The sequence below is a fragment of the Homo sapiens genome, chromosome 1 (assembly GCF_000001405.40).
Source record: "Homo sapiens chromosome 1, GRCh38.p14 Primary Assembly".
Lineage (NCBI taxonomy): Eukaryota > Metazoa > Chordata > Mammalia > Primates > Hominidae > Homo > Homo sapiens.
The window spans coordinates 221986462-222009889 of record NC_000001.11 but is presented as its reverse complement, the minus strand read 5'-3'; the positions used below and the strand labels follow the sequence as shown (position 1 = coordinate 222009889).

The 23428-nt window shown below is 38.7% G+C and overlaps 2 annotated features.

Annotated features, from left to right (window-relative positions):
- Positions 360-892: an enhancer, noted in NCBI's record as "NANOG-H3K4me1 hESC enhancer chr1:222182340-222182872 (GRCh37/hg19 assembly coordinates)". NCBI's record gives its function as "activates a minimal SCP1, AML or CMV promoter by ChIP-STARR-seq in primed H9 embryonic stem cells {active_cell/tissue: H9 hESC(primed)}" and the evidence as "EXISTENCE:reporter gene assay evidence [ECO:0000049][PMID:30033119]".
- Positions 17402-17451: an enhancer, noted in NCBI's record as "active region_2574". NCBI's record gives its function as "activates an Ori minimal core promoter by ATAC-STARR-seq in GM12878 lymphoblastoid cells {active_cell/tissue: GM12878}" and the evidence as "EXISTENCE:reporter gene assay evidence [ECO:0000049][PMID:35858748]".

Genomic DNA, 23428 nt, shown 5'->3' with positions numbered 1-23428 from the left:
TATCCGTATTAAACAAGAAGTTCTGAGGCCTCTGATTTAGTCTACTGCACTCACATTTAAGATGTTTGAACTGAAGTTAAGAGAGAGAAATTGATTTGTGCAGTCATATAATTTGTGATGGTTGGTTTGAGCTGAGCCTCCAGTCTGGAGTTTCAGACTGCCTGGAGGGTGGTCTTCAAACACACCATACCATTTTCCAAATAACAGGATAAATGTTACATATAGGGGTCTCAGCAGTAGAGCTGATTCTGAATGTGAAATGGAAGGACATGGCCCATTTTGGATGGCTTTCATCTCCTTCTTCTCCCCAGTGCATTGACTTACAAAATCGTTGAAAAGATACTTTATCTTGGCTAGATTTTTAGTTACTAGTGCCTTCTGGCATTTTACATATCTAGTCAAATCATTTTTTTTTCAGAAATTATACTGCAGATAGAAAGAACCCCTTTCTTAAAGTCATGGACACATTTAATATTCTAAGAATTTTGAATTATTAAAAATATCATACCCCTAGCTCCCCCAAAAAGCCTATCTTTACCTGGGTTGGATGTGGACAATGTAAAAGTGACACAGTAGGTGGCTCCCGTGAGCAAAAGTGAAACCATTTTAATTCACTATGCTCCTGCAGTTTCTCTAGAATAGATGAGAACACCTGTGGCTTTAGGAACTGGAGATCACTCAGGGGGCCTGCAGGGGCTGCTTATCAAAGGGAAACAGCATAAGGCATTAAATTCCCTCCAGTCCTGTCTATGGGAAACTCATCTGTAGAGGTCCTTTCTTTCTTTCTTTCTTTCTTTTTTTTCTTTTTTGGAGACGAAGTCTCACTCTGTCGCCCAGGCTGGAGTGCAATGGCGCGATCTCGGGTCACTGCAACCTCCCCCTCCCAGGTTCAAGCGATTCTCCTGCCTCAGCCCCCCAAGTAGCTGGGATTACAAGCGCCCGCCACCATACCCAGCTAATTTTTGTATTTTTTAGTAGAGATGGGGTTTCACCATGTTGGCAAGGCTGGTGTGGAACTCCTGACCTCGTGATCTGCCTGCCTCGGCCTCCCAAAGTGCTGGGATTACAGGCCTGAGCTACCGCACCCAGTTTTCTTTTTCTTTTTTTCTTTCTTTCTTTTCTTTTCTTTTCTTTTTTTTTTTTTTTTTTTTTTTTTTTGAGGAGTCCTGCTCTGTTGCCCAGGCTGTAGAGCAGTGGTGCAATCTCAGCTCACTGCAACCTCTGCCTCCCTCCCGGGTTTAAGCCATTCTCGTGCCTCAGCCTCTGAGTAGCTGGGGCTACAGGTGCCCACCACCACGCCTGGCTATTTTTTTGTATTTTTAGTAGAGATGGGGTTTTGCCATGTTGGCCAGACTGGTCTCGAACTCCTGGCTTCGAGTGATCCGCTCGTCTCGGGCTCCCAAAATGCTGGGATTATAGGCATGAGCCACCGCACCCGGCAGAGATTTTCAATGTAAAAACTTTCCACAAAGTTGTAAAGGAATCAATTTAATTACAAAGCAAACAATAAAATTATTTCTAATTTTTCCATGTGAAAAAACATTTCAAACTTTGGTTGTAGCTTGGGTCGTTTATGTTGTGAACTAGCCAGATAAAAGCAAGTGGTGTTTTCTGAATTTTTCTCAGTCCCCCCCCGTCTCTGGTTCCCTATTTCCCTGCCAGCAGATGACAATTCATTTTGATATTTGTAACCAACTGAAAACATTCCTTCTGTGAACCTAAGTTGGATAAATATGTCCACAGTGAAAGTATTTTTCACCTGATGAAAATGAAACCAAATTCCAGATAATATTTTCGTCTTTCTTAGTCTGTGAAAAGACTTTATCATGAAACTCTTGAATTACTTATCAGTATGTAAAATTGAGTCAAACTTATATTTTGACTGAGTACATCCCACAGTTCTTGAAATACTTCAGGATTCTTGTTTACTTGATCGAATTGATCGATGGCTAGCAACAGACCTGTAATCATGTATTTTAATGTGAATAAAGCTAATTAAATGTTTTTAAAAGTGGAATGGTATTTATTTAGAAATTTTATTACTAGGTACTCCAAATAAATTATTACAGATGATTTGCTTAGAAAGAAAAAGGGGCTAATCCCAACACTTTGCAAAGCCAAGGCAGGCAGATTGCTTGAGCCCAGGAGCTTGAGACAAGCCTGGGCAACATGGTGAAATCCTTTCTTTACAAAAAATACAAAAATTAGGTGGGCATGGTGGTATGCGCCTGTAGTCCCAGCAACTTAGGAGGGTGAGGTGAGAGGATCAGTTGAGCCTGGGAAACGGAGGCTGCACTGAGCTGAGATCATGCCACTACACTCTAGCCTGAGCAACAGAGTGAGACCCCGTCTAAAAAAAAAAAAAAAAGAAAATGAAAAGGAATGGAAAACAGCAGATTTTACAAAATATTATGCAACTAAGAAAATATTTATAGTTGCTACTATTTATTGAATACTTGTCATGTATTAGATTCTGTATTAACAATACCTAACATGTTAGTGATATGTTGCATATAATATATAGGATATTATTTAATTTTCCCAGTAGCTCTGTGAGGTAGATATTATTAGTGCCATTTTGTGCACGAGGAAACTGAGACTCACAGATGTGGGTCTCCTGAGGTCACACTGTGGAAAGGTACCCAACTCATCTTCAAACCTATATTTTTATCCATACTACTGTATTGCTTCTCTACTGCATGCATGTTGAGTATAATGTACCAGTAATCAAACTTCCTCATTTATTTTTAAAATCACTATCAGATGCATTTGAAATCCATGCAGTTCATGAAATAGGAAGTCTCCCTCTTTTAGTAAAAGAAAAGGGAGCATTTCTTGTTAGGATGGCAGTAAGACATCTGTACCTGATTAACTTCATTCTACTTTTCCACTGAAGCAGCCATGATAACTCAGATGCCAAGTGACAACAGCCAGAAATTAAAGCTATCAGTCAATTATTTGCTAATTTCTGGAAAGAATAACACATTAAGAAATACTCAATGGCAAAACAGGTCCTCAACTCAACTCAAATTACTCAAGGATGAGCAAACAGAAAGATAACAACATGAAACCAATAAAAATAGTCTGGTATTTCAACTGTCTATATTGTCCAAGAGAAATGCCAAGCAGACAACCTACAGAATGGGAGAAAATATTTGCAAACTATGCATATGACAAAGGTCTAATCACCAGAATCTATAAGGAACTTAAATAAATCAACAAAAATTATTTAAAAATGGCAGAAGATATGAACAGACACTTCTCAAAAGAAGACATATACACAGCCAACAAGCATATGAAAAAATGCTCAACATCAATACTCATTAGAGAAATTCAAATCAAAACAGTAAGATACTATCTCACACCAGTCAGAATGGCTATGATTAAAAAGTTAAAAAAAAACAAACAAACAACTGGCTGGGCACAGTGGCTCACCCCTCTAATCCCAGCATTTTGGGAGGCCAAGGCAGGAGGATTACTTGAGCCCAGAAGTTTGAGACCAGCCTGGGCAACACAGGGACTACATCGCTAGAAAAAAATTAAAAAATATTAGCTGGGTGTGGTGGTATGTGCCTATTGTCCTAGCTACTTGGGAGGCCGAGAGAGGAAGATTGCTGGAGCCCAAGAGGTTGAGGCTGCAATGAGCCATGATCAGGCCACTGCATGGCAGTCTGGGGGACAAAGTGAGACCCTGACTCAGAAAAACAAAATAAAACAAAACAAAACAAAAGCAGATGTTTGAAAAGTTGTGGAGAAAAGGGAACACATACACATCCTTCTGGGAATGTAAATTAGTTCAGCCACTGTGGAAATCAGTTTGTAGATTTCTCAAAGAACTCAAGACAGAACTACCATTTGACCCAGCAGTGTCATTCCAGATATATACCCAAAGGAATATAAATTGTTCTACTATAAAGACCCATGCATGCATATGTTCTTTGTAGCACAATTCACAACAGCAAAGACATGGAATCAACCTAGATACTCGTCAATGGTGGACTGGATAAAGAAAAGGTAGTACATATATACCATGGAATACTACACAGCCATAAACAACAACAAAATTATGTCCTTTGCAACAACATGGAAGAAGCTAGAGGCCATGATCTAAGTGAATTAACACAGGAACAGAAAACCAAATACTGCATGTTCTCACTTATAAGTGGGAGCTAAACATTGAGTACACATGGACATGAAGATGGCAACAATAGACACTGTAGCCTACTTGAAGGTGGAGGGTAGGTGGAACGTAAGGATTGAAAAACTGCCTATTGGCTCAATACCTGGGTGACAAAATCATTTGTACATCAAAGCCCAGCGACATGCAAATTACTCATGTAACAAACCTGCATAGGTACTCCCTGAATCTAAAATAAAAGTTAGAAGAAAAAAAAAAAAAACTAAAATAACATTTTCAGAAAAAAATAAAACAAATGAAGAAAAATAAACTAGATGATGTTCTCTGTGTATTTCTCAATAAATATGAGGAAGCACGGACTTATGGGACAAGAGTGGAGAGATGAGATAATAGTGGCTCTCTGGAATGCCAGTAGATATTTAAAAGGATTTTATGGGCACAATAAGAGAATTCTGGTAACTTATAAACAGAATTAAACAGAATTAAAATGTACCTTGAAGGTAATAAATAGGAGAACAGACACTACAGAAAACCAAGTCAATGACGTAGAAGGCAAACTACATCTTTCTATGAATGGTAAGGTAATAGGTTTAAAAACAGAGAGAGAAATTTGATACAGAGAACAGAAACCAATTTTAAACAGGCAATATTCAGAAGAAATAAACCAAGAGAAAAGAAGGAATAAGAAAAGATATACAGAAGAAAACTTTCCTGAGCTAAAATCGTCATCATCGTCATCACCATTACTACCATTGTTACTCCTAATGTCATCATCACCATCACCATCCATCATCATGATCATTTGAGCTGTGATCCAATGGGCTTAACCTCTTCCAGGATAAATTGCTGATAGAGTATCACATTCTTACACTTCTTCAGAAAGAATTTTAAAAGTGTACTTTAGCAAGGAAAAAAACTATGCTGCTCATAGGCTTCTCTTCATAATACTACATAAAAACTTCATAAGATAGTTTTTGAAATCTGGAGTTTTTATGGAATATGTTAACTCAAGAATTCTACAATTTTAACAAGATGTTGTTGTCTTACATGTTATTCATGTTTAAAGGCAAAATAAAGGCGTTTTTAATTAGGGAAGGATTTAAAAGAGAAATAGCATTCTTGTATCCTTTAGGAAAAATGCCTGAAGACAACTGTCAGCTGCCCAAAAGATGGGTGAAAAGCTTTTATCCAAGAGTGAACAAATTGAACTCTTAAAAAACTTAATGTAAACTGATAATATTGGACACAAAATGTTAATTCTAAATAATTGTTGTAATATGGTTTATAACTTGAATGGAAAGTAACATGATATGAAAAAGATACTTAACGTAAAAATTCAATCAAAATAAAATTTTGATTTTACAAATGTTATAAAAATTGGAAAATGGGAAGGAAGGCAGTAGAGTTTAAAGCACTCTAATTTATTTTATTACCTACGGAGTTATTGAAGGGTGCTTGATTTTTATATTAAAAAAAGTAATGGCAAAACTGCATTAAAATAGCAAAAACCGCAATTACTTTTGCACCAACCTAATAATTAAAAATGTGTAGTTTCAAATATATTTTTGAAAATTTGAGGTACAGAAGTAAAGACATAGATTAATTAAAAATGTCTTCAGTTGCAAGTACACAATAGCCAGCTAACAGCTTCAACCAATAGAAATTTATTTTTCTCTGATAAGAGGAATTCCAGAGGTAGATACTTGTTTATGTTGTTTCGGTAAGTAAATAATGGTGGAAGGTATAACTACAAGTCTTGGTCCTTCCTTCATGCTTACAAAGTGACTGCTATAGCTCCAGCAAGCTGACTGCATCCGGTAAGAAGAGAGAAAGGGCTGGCGTGGTAGCTCACGCCTGTAATCCCAGCACTTTGGAAGGCTGAGGCAGGCAGATCACTTGAGGTCAGGAGTTCAAGACCAGCCTGGCCAACATGGTGAAACCCCATCTCTACTAAAATACAAAAATTAGCCGGGCATGTGGTGGGCACCTGTAATCCCAGCTACTAGGGAGGCTGAGGCAGAGGAATTGCTTGAACTCTGGAGACAGGGGTTGCAGTGAGCCAAGATCGCACCACTGCGCTCTAGCCTGGGCGACAGAGCCAAACTCCTTCTCAAAAATAAATAAATAAATAAATAAAAATAAGGAAGCGGTCACTCCAGCGGACTTCTGCCTATACCTTACTGGCCAGAACTCTAGCACATGGCTCTGCCAGCTGATACTGTTACAGAGTGAGTATTGAATATTTGCTAAATGACTGCATGAATAAAACAAGGTGCCTAAAGTAAACTCAAGCATATATTTTAATAAGTTAAAGCCTCTAAAATCTACCTGAAAAACAAGAGACACCTAAGATTAGAGAACATAGAGAGGACATGGAAATGAATTGAAGTAAAATTGTTGTAGGAAAATTTACCACACCCCTCTTATACTTTGAAACATTAGATAGCCAAAAATCAAAGACAAAGATAGATTGACAATATAACTTAACAGAATTAAACTAATAAATACTATTTGACAAGAATGAGTTAATACATATCTATTAATAGATAGAATATACATTTAAAATGCTTACATACAGATTAAGTATGTGAAGAAAACCTCAAGAAATTTCAAAACACAGATGTAGCATAATTATATTTTCTAAAACTTTACATTTTCATCAGATATTAATAATTAAAATTTAAACAAAAACATTAAATCACATGATAGTTTCTTTTTTCAGTTTTAAGAGGCAGTATTTTGCTCTGTGTCCTAGAATGGAGCATAGCAGCATGATCAAAGCTCACTGCAGCCTCAAACTCTGGGTTGGGGCTCAAGTGATCTCACGTCAGCCTCTGGAGTAGCCGGGACCACAGGCATACATGCCACTATACCTGGCTAATTTTTTTTGTTTTTTTTTTCTGTAGAGATGAGATGAGAGTCTCTGTTGCTCAGGCTGGTCTTGAGCTTCTGGCTTCAAGTGATTTTTTGTATTGGACTCCAAAAGTGCTGGCATTATAGGTATGAGCCACAGTTACATGGAACGGTTACATGACAATTCTTTAAGATGTGTTAACCACTATGTTAAAGGAAAAGTAAAATTATTGCTAAAGATGATGAATCATATTAAGAGACTTACTTAGAAAATTATGATATGTGGCTAGGATTATACTTACAGTAACATATAGTACTTCATATGCTTTTATAATTAAGTAGAGAAGGGTGAAAATGACTGTTTTAAGTTGCAAAAAACAATAAAACTCATTTAATTAAAATAGAAATGGAAAGAAATAATAAAGATAAAAGCAGATATTAAATAGAGAACAGGGACAGAATAATTAGTGCTAATCAAAAAGTTCAAGGGCTAGCTTCTTTAGAAATACTTACAAAATAGAGGATAATAAAGGAAAAATGAAAGGGATATTCATAAATAAAACTGAGAAATCAGAAAGGGGTTATATAATGGATATGGTAGAGAAGAAAATTTTAGAGATTTATTTGTTTCACTACGGCAATAAGTTTGAAAATCTCTGTACTTTGGGATGAAAACATAATTGACTCTATGTGATTCAAAAAAATAAGTAGAAGACTATAAAATTAGCTTTTGAAGAAAATAAGTAAGATATCAATGCATTATTTCTACAAAGGTTCTTATTTTATTGGTATTTTTTCCATATTTTCAAGACATTGATAATTCATATGCTATGTAACTTTTCCAGATCATAGAAAATCATGGACAGATATTATGCTGGCTTCATGTTGGTATTCATATTTGAATGAGATAAAGCAAAATAGCATAGCTACAGAACTGAGATTTTCAGTGTGTTTCCCAACCACCTACGTTGAATTTTCTGGGAATATTTGTAAAAATGTCAGGTTCCTGGGTTCCACATCTCACCTTTTGAATCATTAAGGATGGAACCTGGGAATATGATATTAAATTCTTATTATCAATTTAATATTAAAAAGTACTTAGAAGCAAACAAACTTTAAAAATGTCAGAAAACTTTTGCTGATATTACATTTTAGTGGAGGTAATATAGAAGATTCAGACAGTGCAGAGAGTACACAATAAAACGTGTCCTTGACCTCCTTCCTTCTCACAATCTTATTATTATTTTATTTTTGAGACAGAGTCTCTCTCTTGTTGCCCAGGATGGAGTGCAATGGCATGATCTTGGCTCACTGCAACCTCCGACTCCCGAGTTCAGGCAATTCTCTCCTGCCTCAGCCTCCTGAGTAGCTGGGATTAGAGGCACCCACCACCACACCTGGCTAATGTTTTTGTATTTTTAGTACAGGCGGGGTTTCACCATATTGGCCAGGCTGGTCTCAAACTCCTGACCCTAGGTGATCCGCCTGCCTTGGCCTCCCAAAGTGCTGGGATTACATGGTAGCGTGAGCCACCGTGCCCGGCCTTACTACCTTATTCTTATACATATTTCCTAGGTAACAGTGTAGTATGAAGAATAAAAAAGATGCACATACTAGCATCTATATTTGTCCAACATTCAACATATCTACAAAAAGGGTCAGAATATGCTTACTCTTCTGCAATTTGCTTTCCTTCACTTAATAATTTATATTTGAAATTTTTCATATCAGTACACACAGATCTATCTATTCTTTTTCATAACAACATACTATCTATCAAATAAATATGCCTTAATTTATTCAATCGGTTTTCTATTAGTGGATATAACAGTTGTTTTGACTTAGTTTTGTACTTTCTATGTATATTTGGTGAATAAATCCATACTGTAAATTATTAGCTGCGGAATTGCTGGATCTAATGGACACAGATTTTAATTTGATAACTATTGCCAAACCCTTCTCTGGAAACAAGGAATAGGAATTCCCATTTCCCCATACTCTTGCCAGGACTGGGTATCATCGTCAAATGTTGGGAACTTTGCTATTTTTGATAGGCATAAAACAATACCTATTAGAGTTTTAATTGTAGGTCTTTAATTAACAAAGAGGTTGGGCATTGTTTCAAATTATATTGCTCATCTATAATTTTGTTTCTGTAAAATGCCTGTTCATAACCACTGTTCACTTTACTATTAGATTGTTTCTCTTTTCATAATTGATTTCTTGAGCACTTTGAAGAATATGAAATTGATCTCCTGTCAATTTGTTAACACATGACTATTTTTATTTTAACTATAGAGCATTACTTTCTATTAGAAAATTAAAATTGTTTGAGAATCAAATTCATCTTTCTCTTCTGTCATGGCTACTGGATTATGTAATCTTCATTTTAAAATTGCTCCCCAGATGATAACATCTGCTTTCACATTTGAGAGGAGTTAATCACTATAGACTGGTCTCAATTATAAATATGTACGTAAAAATCCATATTTTTATAAAGAATAAGTGAAACTTACCCACTACAATGAAATAAGGGATGTCGTAAAGTTTAAGAATGTTTTTAATATTAGGGAATCTATTAATATATTGCATCATAGCAATATTTCAAAGGAGACAAACATATGGTAATTTCAACAAATGTCAAAAAATATAGGATACGATGCAACATATTTCTTACAGATGAAAAAGAAACCTTTAGAAAACTAAGAATAGAATATTTCTATAGATGATTAAAAATAAGCATCATAAAACACCAGCCAGCATAATGCTTAATCGTGGAGCACTAGGGACAATCCCAATTAAAACTGGGAAGCTGACCAGAATTTCTGCCACTGCCATCATTATTTCACGTTCTTACCAATGAACATACTGTCCAGCACAATGTGGTATAAAATGGAAAGAGGATGCATGAATATTTTAAAAGAGGACAAAATTATCATTATTTGCAGATGACATAATTAAATACAAAGAAAAATCAAGATAATTCAACTGAAAAGCTCTTAGAATTAATGTAATTTCAGAAGTGAGGCAATAAAAAGTAAAATTATGAAAGGATTTTTTTTCTATAAGCAAATAATAATTAGGATAATTAGTAGGAAAAAAACTTTCATAGTTTCTTTCAGAATAACAACAAAAATCTAGGTCATTGCAATAACTCTAATGAAATACATGTGGAGCTTTTCTGAAGAAGTTTTAAAACTTACCTAGAGCTGTAAAAGTCAACATCAACAAAGAGATAGACTTATCATATTCTTAGATGAGATAAATACTTTGAAGATATTAATGGTCCCTGGATTAACTTTTAGGCATAGTATTATTTCAAGGGAAATCTCAATTTGGGGAGATAATTTGGTAAAATGATTCTGAAGTTCATCTCAAAGAGTAAACAGGTAGGAATAACAAAAAGTATTTTGCAAAAGAATAGTAATACTAAGGGAGAAGACTTAACTTACGAGATTTTTAAATGCTTAATGACGATTTTGCCATCAAAACAGCATATACATCAAGGTAAATTTCAAAATATATCCCATATAGGCCCACTGTCCTTTGTCTTAAATTCTTGGGGTTACATATGTTTGTGAATTTAAAATTTGAATTTCAGAAAGGTAATTTGGTTATATCCTAAATATTACTGAATACTTCATAGACCTCAGAACCCAGTGGGGTCAGGACCAGTACTACATAAACAAACATATTGATATTTCTGTAATGAAACTCAGTAGGACACATAAAAACTACAAACAGCCTCCAACTGATTCAAGTCATATTTTGTTCCCAAGTGAACGTTGGCACGAAACTCATGAAAAAGAAAAAAAAATGTGCTTTTTAGAACTTCGCTAATTTTGAAATTTTGGATTGCAGATCATGGGCCTTTATGTATGTCATAGGCTGTACTCCCTGGAAGCTGACTCTGATATGGAGATTAGGTTGTAGGACTTTGTATTAGTCAGTTCTCATGCGGCTATGAAGAAATATCCGAGACTGGGTAATTTATAAAGAAAAGAGGTTTAATTGACTCACAGTTCTGCCTGGCTGGGGAGGCCTCAGGAAACTTACAATCATGGCAGAAAGCACCTCTTTACGGGGTGGCAGGAGAGAGAATGAGTGAAGAGTGAAGTGGGGGAAAAGCCCTTTATAAAACCATCGGATAGCATGAGAACTTACTCACTATCATGAGGACAGCATGGGGGAACTGCCCCCATGATCTAATCACTTCCCGTGAGGTCCCTCCCTCAACATATAGGGATTATAATTTGGATTACAATGCAAGAGGAGATTTGAGTTGGGACACACAGCCAGACCATATCAGACATTCATTAGGGAGTGTGCTTGGGGTGAGCATGGAAGGAGAGGACAGAAGTGAAATTGAGCACAGAGATAAGTTGAGCTGTGATTCAGTCCCAAGAAAGGCTGCAGCCACACACCACATAGGGAGCTGTGGGGCTTAGAAGGTCATTTAGATTCTTTTTCAGGCAGATTTTTTTTTTTTTTTCTGCAGAGTCAATCCCCAAAGAACTGGCAGCTGAGAGCTGTCTTCTAGCTGCTGGAGAAACAAAGTCCTTCATTCCTGAAAGGGAGTTTGGGGTATAGGCCAAGACACCCATGATGTGTGTGGGGATCTAATACATGATAAGGAAAACCACACACAAATGGATTAGTCAGCAAACAGTTTGGGGAATGATCGCCAGTTAAATCTTCACCTCGTGCTACATGTAAAATAAACACAAGATGAATTATCAAGTTAATTACAAAAAATAAAACATCTCAAAATACAAATAAATATTCTCCTGTCTTCAAAGTGGAGAAGGAATTATAAACAAAAAGCATGGAAGAAATTACAAGGTAAAAGCAAAGATTTGAATACAAGTAAATTTAAGGGGTTCTTTTTTGTTTTTTGTTTTTGTTTTTGTTTTTTCAGATGGAGTCCCACTCTGTTGCCCAGGCTGGAGTACAGTGGTGAGATCTTGGCTCACTGCAACCTCTGCTTCCCGGGTTCAAGCAATTCTCCTGCTTCAGACTCCTGAGTATCTGGTATTACAGGCACACATACCATGCCTGGTTAATTTTTTTGTACTTCTAGGACAGACAGGGTTTGGCTATGTTGGTCAGGCTGGTCTTGAACTCCTGACCTCAAGTGATGTGCCTGCCTTGGCCTCCCAAAGTGCTGGGCTTACAGGCGTGAGCCACCGTGCCCAGCCTAAAACTTTTTAATGTTGAAATCATTAGCAAAATTAAAAGACAGAAAACATGTAGAAAAAATTTGCAGCATAGATAGCAAAGGATTAATATACATATGCATGTATATATATATCTCATATAAATCTCATGAAAGCTCATATAAATAAATAAGAATATTTCACTAGGAAAGAAAAATGGGCAAAGATTATAAATAGAGCATTCTATAAACATACACAGAGTTTTCAACCACACAAAATAAACTCAAGAAAATTTCAATAAAACTTTGTTATCACTTTTTTTTTGCATATATAAAGTTCCAAACATTATAAAACATGACAGGTTTTGGCCAGGTGCAGTGGCTCACTCCTGTAATGCCAGCACTTTGGGAGGCCAGGGTGGGTGGATCACTTGAACTCAGGAGTTGGAGGCCAGCCTGGGCAACATGGCAAAACTCTGTCTCTATGAAAAATACAAAAATTAGCTGGGTGTGTTGGCAAGCGCCTGTAGTCCCAGCTACTTGGGAGGCAGAGGTGGGAGTATGGCTTGAGCCCAAGAGGTAGAAGCTGCAGTGAGTCATGATTGCTCCACTGTACTCCAGCCTGGGTGACACAGTGAGACTGTCTCAAAAATAAATAAATAAATAAATAAATAAAATAAAACATGACAGTTCTTACTGTTGTGACAGCCAGTAGAAGTATAAATTGTTGCCACTTATCTAGAAAACTATTTGACAATTTATTTAAGAAACTTAAAAATCTTTGTATACCTTTATCCTGAAATTCTTTTTGTAAGGAATCTGCTGAGGAAAAACACAGCAGTTCAAAGAACTATTCACGCAAGAGGGTTTTCATTGCTACATTATATAAGATAAGCAAAGGGTTAGAAACACTCTCTCAATAACAAAGAAATGCTTAATAAATTGTTGTACACAGATGTAATTAAATTATTATGGAGACATTAACATATAACATTAAAAAAACTAAATGACAAGAACATGCTTACAAAATTGTTAGAAAATGTAAGATATGAAACTATATACAATGACATCTATCTTATCTCTATTTATCAGAAAGACAATACAAATAATATGCCAAAGCATTAATAGTGCTTATCTCTGGCTGGGTGTTACAGTATAACAAGTCTACATTTTCTTTTGTATACTTCTACTATATTTTCCAAATACAACCATGTAACAAACATGGTAGCAAAAGGTAACAAACATGTTACCTTTATAATAAAAGAGAAATCAAAGTTTATCTAGGCCAGGAGTGGTGGCTCATGCCTATAATCCCAGCATTTTGGGAGGCTGATGTGGGAGGATCACTTGAGGCCAGGAGTTCAAGGCCAGCTTGGGCAAAATAGTGAGATCCTTCTGCTACCAAAAATAAAAATAAAATATTATAAAATAAAACATGCAGAATTGTGTGATCTGTAGTCTTATACAGTAATGTTCAACCTTTTATGAACAGAACAAGCTTTGTATAATATCTTTTTTTTTTTTTTTTTTTGAGACCAAATCTCTGTCACCCAGGCTGGAGTGCAATGGCACGATCTAGGCTCACTGCAACCTTTGCCTCCTGGGTTCAAGTGATTCTCTGGCTTCAGCCTCTCAAGTAGCTGGGAATACAGGTGCCCCCCCCGCCCCCACCACACCTGGCTAATTTTTGTATTTTCAGTAGAGACGGGGTTTTACCATGTTGGCCAGGCTGGTCTCGAACTCTCCTGATCTCAAGTGATCTGCCCACCTCAGCCTCCCACAAGCTTTGTATAATATCTTGACTCAGCTCAAATTTACATTTAAACTCACCTGAGACACCCATGCCACATGTCTCCACCAACTGATAAGGGGTAATTGAGCATGAGGGGCTTGTTAGAGACCAGATTGCTAGTGGAGTGGGCAGGGAGCATAGCAGGACATGAGTCCTAGGGAAATGGTCACAAATAGCCCTGAAGCATCCTCTTACCCATTTTCATTCCAGAAAAGCTGGCCTGGCCAGGCTGCAGAATCAGAGGTGCATATGGGCACACAGTGGCTCCCCTATCTGTGAGGTCTAATTCCATCTGGTAAATGTCCAAGGGGGTTTCCTTAGTGCAGAGCCACCTGTAGGGTGAATCAAGGTGACAGCAGAGCCCAGAGGAGGGGCCATGCCCTCGTCACTGCTGGCTGAGCCACTCTTGACCCAAGGTACTGTGACCCTTCTTGGTTCTGAGTCCCTCAGTCTCCTAAAATCTCTAGCAATTATCTTTTCTTTTCTTACTGCAGCCTCCACTCCTGTCCCTGGGCATGTCCTAAACACTGGCCATTGTAGTATTAATCGCACAAACCAAGCAAGTCTAATTTACAAAACAAGCCATTGCTTAGTGGAGGAGACTCGGCCAATGTGCACATCGCAGCATCAGTCCCTATTTTTCACAAACTAACCCAGTTAACCCAGTTAACTTCTCTCTGCCCATCCTGCTAACTAGATAATGGATACTCAGTGAGTGCAGCCCTAACTAAACATTAGATTGTTAGTCAGACTGGAATGTTCCTCCGTCACATACTTGAACAGTGTTTTCAGTTTGGGGTTATCCACATGATCCATTTCTCATTATCACGGACGACAAAGACCCAACTGTGTTCATCAGCATATGAACATTACTCACACACACTCATTTCATAAGCAAGAAAACACAGAGAAAGGAGAAAAAAAAAGATTAAAATAAGTGCAGTAAGGAGTGGGAGGCTTGGAGAATGAATCAAATAAGAGATTGTTATAACTGGAAGAGACCTTAAAGGGAAGTCTGTTCTTCTAAACCCATCATTTTATAGTTTCTTTGTTTTTGTAATAAAAAGACAAAGCAAATGAGGCTAAGCCAGAGATCTAGTAAGTGGCAGAGAAGGAACCAGAACTCTTCTGACTCTTCTAGGTTATCTAACTCTTAGTGAGCTGTGCATTAACCTTGTCGCCCGTCTAAGTAATGGGAGGAAGAATAGGTACTGGTTGAGAGTCAAGTTGAGAAGTGAGTTCTTTGATAGAGGTGAAGATGAGGCCAGTTACTTGGGTCTCAAACTGAACAGGAAACACCATCATTTCCATTTTCTGATCACTTTTAGAGTCAGTGCAACTCTAAAAGTCAGTGCAACTCTAGGAAGTGGGTGTACCATCTCACTCTTTCCACATCCTCTTGGCCTCCCTTTGGACTCCATGGGGCTGTAGGATGGTGCTGTGTTGATCTGCACCTCAGTGAAAACACCTCTCTGCCATCAACTTCCAGTTTGTCCCTACAGCTTTCCTGACTCCACAGTGGGCTACCTGGATTTAAGCCCTGCCTTCCCTGAGGTCTGCTGTGCTGGAAACTCTCCTGAGCATCATGACTCAAACCATGCAGCCTAAAAGGACCAGTATATGAGTCAGCTGATTCTCTTCCCCTTTCAGGCAAGCAGTTGATGTCTTAGAACCCTGTTCTTTTTCTAACTAGCATTAGAGGCCTGGTTAAGCGAGAACAGCTCTTTCTTCTGTTAAGAGGATATATATTCGGGAGGGTCCGGAGACATTTGAATCAAGACTCCCTAGTTCCTTCCCAAAGGAGATAAGAATCCCCATTGGGCCTTGAAGCTTTGAGGACCAGGTCTGTTTCTGAAGCATTCTTGTAAAAAGGTACAAACCTTCAGGTCTAGTTTAAATTCATTTCTATTATGTAGCCCCAAAGATCTTGGCTCAGGGGTTACTTTAGACCTCCCGATAGCTCTCAGAATTCCAAGCATATGCCCTATGGGCTTTCCTAGGTCTTCTCCATGTACTGAAATGTCAAAGACAGGGAAGCAAGAGCTTGGCTCATGTCCTCATCATCTCTCTTCTGGGCTACTGCTGTCATTTTTTCACTGGTCTCCTTTCCCCAGTATCATTTCATGAGTGCCTGCAAATGAGTAAATGAATGAACACAATCTCACTCTTTTCTAATTCATCCTTTCCACCAGGGGTCTCCAATCCCTGGGCCATGGACCAGTATCAGTCTATGGCCTGTTAGGAACCAGGCCTCACAGTAGCAGGTGAGAGACAGGCAATCAAGCAAAATTTCATCTGTATTTACAGCTGCTCCTCATCACTGGCATTACCACCTGAGCTCCACCTCCTGTGAGATCAGTGTTGGCATTGGATTCTAATAGAAGCATGAACCCTATTGTGAACTGTGCATGCAAGGGATCTAGGTTGTGTGCTCCTTATGAGACTGTAATGACTGAGGATCTGTCACTGTCTCCCATCACCCCTAGATGGGACCTTGTAGTGCAGAAAAACAGGCTCAGGGCTCCCACTGATTATACATTATGATGAGTTGTAAAATTATTTCATTATATATTACAAGGTAATAATAATAGAAATAAAGTGGACAATAAATGTAATACACTTCATTCATCCCTCCAATCCGGTCTGTGGAAAAATTGTCTTCCACAAACCTGTCCCTGATGTCGAAAATGTTGGGGACCACTGCTTTACACTGTTGTTAAAGAAGCAGCTTTAAAGGGCAAAAATCAAGTCAAGTTGCTCCCATTTCCATAGCTCCTCAGTCCCTAGAGCACAGCAGCCCAGAAGAGCATCTAGAACATTTGGAGTTACCTGTCTTCCAACCTTATGTCCTGAGACTGCCTGTGTCTGCCTTTACGTTGTGACCACTAGTGTAATCCAAACTCTCTGATTTTGTTCTTTTAGCTCCTTCTACTCGGAGAAACTTCCCCTTCACTAATGGGAGACATCTTTGTGATTGTTTAGGGTCCAGGTAAAATTTCACATCTCGAAGAGGGAATGCTATAGAATCCAATACACCTTGGCCTGATCACTGCCCCATCATGTGCTAACTCTGTGGACACAAGGGAATGTATTACTCTCTTCATGCCCAACTTTGCTTAGCTTTATATTGTGGAAAACAATATCTACCTCTTAAGATTAATGTAAGGATTGTTAAAAAATGAACTTAGGCATATTAACATTCTAATGAGTTTGAGCATTCAGCATTTCATGACCTGGGCAGCATTAGACCACAAGTGGTTTGGCACTCCACTGAAGGGGTGCGAAGGGGATACTTTTATACGGTGTTTGTGAAAGAAAGACAGAGGAAGCATTTGATTGGTTAAAATGGAAAGTCCCTAGTTAGAGATTAGTTGGTGGTTTCTGATTGGTAAAGTCCCTAGTTAGAAGCTACTTGGTGATTTCTGATAGGATAAGCTTAAGCTTTGTTTCACTGTTTACATTGAGTTGGGTTTTGGTTTGCTTAGGAAGAGACCCAGGGTGCTGGAGTTTCTGCAGCCTACTGGCCTCCTATTAAGCATTTTCATAGGATAAATACATTTATGTACATAAAGCAACTAGCTTTGTACTTGGCAAAATAGGTGAATAAGCCATTTAATTTTTTATCCCAATAAGCCATAGTTTCCTTTTTCTTCCTTTTTATTCTTTGAAGCCCTTTTCAAACTCTCAGTGGGGGTTAACTCTCCTCTGTGCTGCCATTCTCCAAGGAGCCATTTCTCTTGCTAGATGGTATGCTTCACAGGCCGGTACCTTGTCTTATCTTTTGTATTCCCAGTTCTAGCTCAGTCTCTAGCCCAAGGCAAGTAAGAACTCCATTAAAAAACTGAAATAGTAAATAGCTGATGCATGGGAGCCTCTCCATGGGAAGGTGGAAAAGACAGTGCAGGTGGAATTGTGATCTCCTAGTAGGAAACAAAAGCTATTTTCTATTTACTTCCAAAAGACTTCACTACTCAGCACTATAGAACCTTGGGGTGTCAAAGAGCTGGCAGCAGAGTCAGAGATAATCAGAGCTTTAAACTCAGAGTGGGGCAGGCTCTGGCCCAAGACCTCAAGATGGTAACAGCCAGGCCGAGACTGCTTATATTCAGACACCTGGGCCATGACTCTCCTGCACCTGCCTTCTCCTTACCCCACATCTCAGGGGAAATGAGATGTAGGCCCAGCAGGAATGCTTAAAATTTTTTTATTTTCCCAAATGTTACCAATCTCTAAGTCTCCAGATGGGTCAGGATGGGATCTTGACCTGCCTAACTGGCTGGACAGAATCATTGTATAAAGCTTGTGAGAAGGTGGAGAAAGAATGTGCATCTCTAGATTCCATATTTATATGATCAGATAGCTCCCCACCTCCAAGTGCTTCTCAAACACTAAGTTCTCTGTCCTCAGAAGCACCCTGCTAAGAAGGGGTTATCTGTCCTTTTTTTAACAAGAGGGAACCCAAGTCTCAGAAAAGTTAAGCCATTTCCCTAGATGCCTCCGTGAGTCAGTAGGGAGGCTTTAAATAGAACCTACCATTCCTTCCACACCCACTTCCTACCCATTAGACCACACTCTCTTTTGAGCACAGGAATGTAAGCCCTGCACATACCTTCTAAGGACAAAATGTGCCCTTTAGAATTAGCTACATGATTCCAGAATGAAAGGCATGAATAAGGGAGGAAGGGGAGTGAGAACCAGGAAGATGAAAGTGACTTTTTTCCCTTCTCTACTTAAACTATATATTTATAGGAAGCCTAAGTGTCAGGGGAAGGTGAGAGAATCCTGGGATTGTATATTTAAGTGGTTTCCCACATGAGCCAAGGCCACACATTTGCAGTCGCCATATGACATTGGTATTGGTGGCAGTAATGCTTGCATAACTAGCAATTGCTGATAAGGTGAGCTCAGTGTTTCTGATCCTATTGAATAACTTCTGATTCTCACAGAGAAGACCAGAAAGACAATGTCCTATTTAATAACAGTACTGGAAAGTTATTGTCAACATATTTTTACAACTGAGAAAACCAAGCCTCTCAGGGGGGCAAATAAATTGCTTGGGTCACTCAACTGATCAGCAGCTAAACTAGAAATGAAAGTTAGCAGAGGTTGGCCCCCATGTCCATTCTTTCCTCACCATCAGTGGTTCTCAAAGTGTGGTCTCTGGACCAGCAGCCTTTATATCACCTGGGAATTTGTTAGAAAAGCAAAGTCGTGGGCTCTAACTCAGATTTAGAAATAGAACCTTGAGGATTGGGGTTCAGCGATCAGTTTCAACAAGCCTTCCAAAGGCTTCCGGTGCAAGCTTAAGTTGGAGAAGCACTGCTCTCCACCATGGTGTCTTGGGAAGCAGGAACATCAGAATGGAGGTTAGCATGGATGAGGGTGGCAGGAAGAGGGGCAGGGATCAGCCTGGGCAGAACAGTGTGTCACCAGCAAAGAGAGGGCAGGTGCAGATGAGCCCCTTCCCTGCTATACTGTGGGAAACAGCAGCAACTAAAGAGCATCACAATGAAGGTGCAATGGAGGGCCCCTGAGGGAGCCCTGGTGGGAGGGCATTAAAATAGAGCAGTGGCAAAAACTTCCTTAATATTATGCTGACCAGCCCTGCAAATATCATAGAAGCTAATAGGAAGCAGAGAAAGGGGAAAGAATAAAAAAACAGAGGGAGGATTAAAGCAAAGCAGGGAAAGAAGAAAGAAAACACGGTATTGAGAGTAGCAAAATATTAATGGGTAACATAATGGGTAATCTGGAAGCCTCTTGTGGACTGAATGCTCCTGCCCTGCATGGAAGAGTTCTGGATTACTTTAACTTTCTGCTTCTAAACAAACTGGGGGTAGGTAGAGATGGCTTTGCTGATATTCTTTTACTGGTTCTCTCTGCTGCCTGGGGAGTCTCATGAATCAAAGTCTCAAAGAATTGAACTCTTTTTCCAAAGACTTACATCCAGACCTCTCAACAGAATTATTGAATTAGAACCTTCGTGTTTTAGGAATGGGTAGAGGAAAGGTCAACTATGTTTAGTTTAGCAAAGCTTTCAAAGTGATTCAACACCATCTTTCACTACCATTACACACAAATACACACCCTATATACATATATCACTACTATTTTTATCTTTAAAAACTAAACAAACCACAACTAGAAGCTCCCTGCCAAAAACCCAAGAAGACCTCTCACCCTTCAATTTATACTTCTGTAGAATCCCAGACCTGTGGGGGTAAGAGGGAAGAGAAGCACCACCATGCACCCTGGTGCTGAGCACCTGCAGACCCGATTCTCCACAGCATACCCAGGGCTTGGCCATCCCCTTTGGTCTGGAGGTGCTGCCTGGTGCTTTGTAGCCTCCCAGACTTTTTTCTACAATTGCTCTGAAACTCAGATATTTTTCACCAAAATTGGCTGGACCAATTTTTTTTTTTCATTTTTGAGGGGCTTTTGGATGTTTTGTCCTGGGTTTCCAAGCTGGTGTGTGTGCATGTGTGTGTGTGTGTGAACATCTCTCAGAGAGCCCCTCCCCACACCCACCTGTTCATTGTCACAGTGACGGTGGAATCTGTGCTCTCTAGGAGTGCTATTGCCAGATGAGGTGGAGGGCAGGTGGTAGGTGTTTAGAATGGGCTTCTCTGTTACCAAGACAAGAGCAAGACCTCTAAAACTGTTTTGTTCCTCTACCTTCCCTTTAACTTTCCCTATTACTTCTGGGAGAAAGAGTAGAATTAGATCATAACCAAGATAGTTAAAAGGTGGATCTTCTAGCTAACAGCTTTTGAGTACATGCTACTACATGATAAAAACCTTGTTGAGCACATTATACACATTCTTTGATTGAAACTTTTCAGTGACCACCATCTGAGATAGGGGCTGTTATCCCATTGTACAGAGGAGAAAACTGAGGCTAGGTACATTAATTACCAACAGTCACACATCCAATAAATTGTGAAGTATAGACTTGAACCCAACCTGGGCCTACTGGCAGCTTAGGCACTTTTTAATTAGCATGACACAATGATATAGTTTATAATTTCCAGGGCATTTTCTAATGCATTGTCTTTTGGGTTTGAGGCAGTTTTTGACACTCAAATAGGCTTCTCTCTTACTGAAGAAGGGAAGACAGGAGGAAGGGAAAGAAATCAATATTTGCTGAGCCTGGGTCAGAAGATTTCATTTAAGTCTGTTCATTTAATTATCATGACAATCCTTTAACTTGAGTAATATTATTTCTATTTTTACAAAAGATGGTCCAGAATTTCAGGGGAGGTAACGTCTTAGCTTAAGTGTTCAAGGCAGATCTGTGGCAGAGTTGATCCTGAAACCCTGATCTGCCTCATCCAAAGCCCAGCAGCCCACGTTTCACTTTCATGTGATAAAGGTTTTTATGTAAGCACCGGACATTGATCATTTATCTCTTTGATGTGACATTTCCTGTGGTCCCAGACACTTCTTTGGGATTCTATAGGATGTCAATTCCTGGACCTAGGGAACTAAAATGTATGCCAAGGCAAAGTAAACAGAGGGTATTGTATTTTTGTTTTAAACTGTGAAGATACCACCAGGTATCCACTTGAAACACTGCTGTGGGCCTCAGTAAGTGTTCAGAGGATGGCTCAGGAATCAGGTTGTATTAATATCTCTTTTTTATCAAGACAAAAATGAAAGTCGAATCTGAGCATTCAGTCTCATCTGGAATGTTTTCTTCTTCTCTAAATATTTTAAATCAGAAAGTTTCAAATTCTTTAGTTCATGATGCTATAGTCTCACACACACGTACATACACACACACCCCTACACACAGGGCCCTAAAAAGCAAGGTCATCTCAACGCAAATCCATACCGTCTTTAGAGATCCAATGTGACAGATGTCATGGTGACTCATACCCATGAATCACTTATCTTAGCTCATTGAGGAATGGCATGACACAGCCCACATGACAGGGCCCATTTGTTCTTTTTGGTAAATCCCTAAAATTCTGAACAGCTGCTTTATTCCTTACATGTTCAATCATGATAATAGGAAGAAAAAAAAAGTGACTAGTGTGTATTTTGGCTGGTGGTTAAATAGTGCATCGTAGTCCTTTAGCCCTCCGTCCACTCTTAGAACATATCTTGCTTTTCCAGGTTCAGGGCTTGTTCCTCATCACCTCTTGCCTTTCCCTTGGGCAACATCAATGTCTGTGTGCATAACCCATCTAACACTGGGTTTCACAGGTATTTAAACTCCTCAACTCTGAAGTTCTTCAGCTCCATTTGTACCAGATAAGCAAACCCATAGCTACACCCTCAAAGCTGTCATGAACCAGAATGACTTAACTTCTGAGAGCTTAAAGTCTTTGATAATTTTCTGCTCATACAGCTCTCACATTCCCTTATTCCCTAAAATTATTCTTTGATTGAATCAAGACCTCCATTTTCTCACTCAAAATAACCCAGCCCTTTTCTGGTTTCTTCCTCCATGGTAGATACTATGCCCCATTAGCAATCAAAACTGCTCTTGTCAAGGCCATCTATGACATCCATGTATCCAAACCCAAGGGTCGGTTTTTAGTTGCGACCATACTTGACTTTCACTAGCATTTGTCACTACTGATCTCTCTCTCCTCTTGGAAATATTTTCTTGGTTTCACTTCTAAGACACCACACCTTCTTGATTATTTTCCTATTTACTCGTCAACATCTTTAGTCCCCTTTGCTGGATTTTCTTCTTCTCTCAACCTCTTAATGTCAGAGTGTCCTAGAACGCAGAGCCAGTCCCTCTTCTCTTCATTATCTGTACCCATTCCCTAGATGACAGCATCCAATCTGATGGCTTTAAAATCCATCTATATTCTGAGAACCCCTCAAGTGCAGCTACAGCCTGGATCTCAACCGTGAACTCCAGACTCTAACATCCAACTGCTTAGCCCACATCTCCAATTGGATGTCTAATCAACGTCTTTAACTTAGTAAGTCCAGACTCTAATTCAAGACTTTTGCTAGTCAAAACAGACTCTAAAAAATAAATAGGCCACAATCTCAAGCCACAGATTGAGAAATATATTCATAACACATATATCTGACAAATGATGTGCATTTAGAATATATAAATCACTCATAACTCAGTAATAAAAAGATTAAAATCCAATTAAAATGACAGGCATTCACAAAAGAAAAAAACATGGCCAATAAGTAATGAAAAGTGCTCTACATCATTAATAATGAGGGAAATGCAAGTATTTTCCCACAGCTGGTGTCTTGTCTCTTCATTTTTTAAATAAGTGTTTCACACAGAGCAAGTTTTAAATTTTGGTAAACTCTTGTTTATCTTTTTCAATGTTTTAACTATTTGGTTAGTACTTTTTGTATGCACCATTACACCTAAGAACCCACTTGCAGAATTTTTTGCTTCCTTTTCTGCTATTTGTGAGATCTGCTTGTTTGGAAGTTTTAGGACCTAGAGAGAAAACATTTCCACCAGGGGATACAACAATAATTCCAATAAATTGGAAGATGA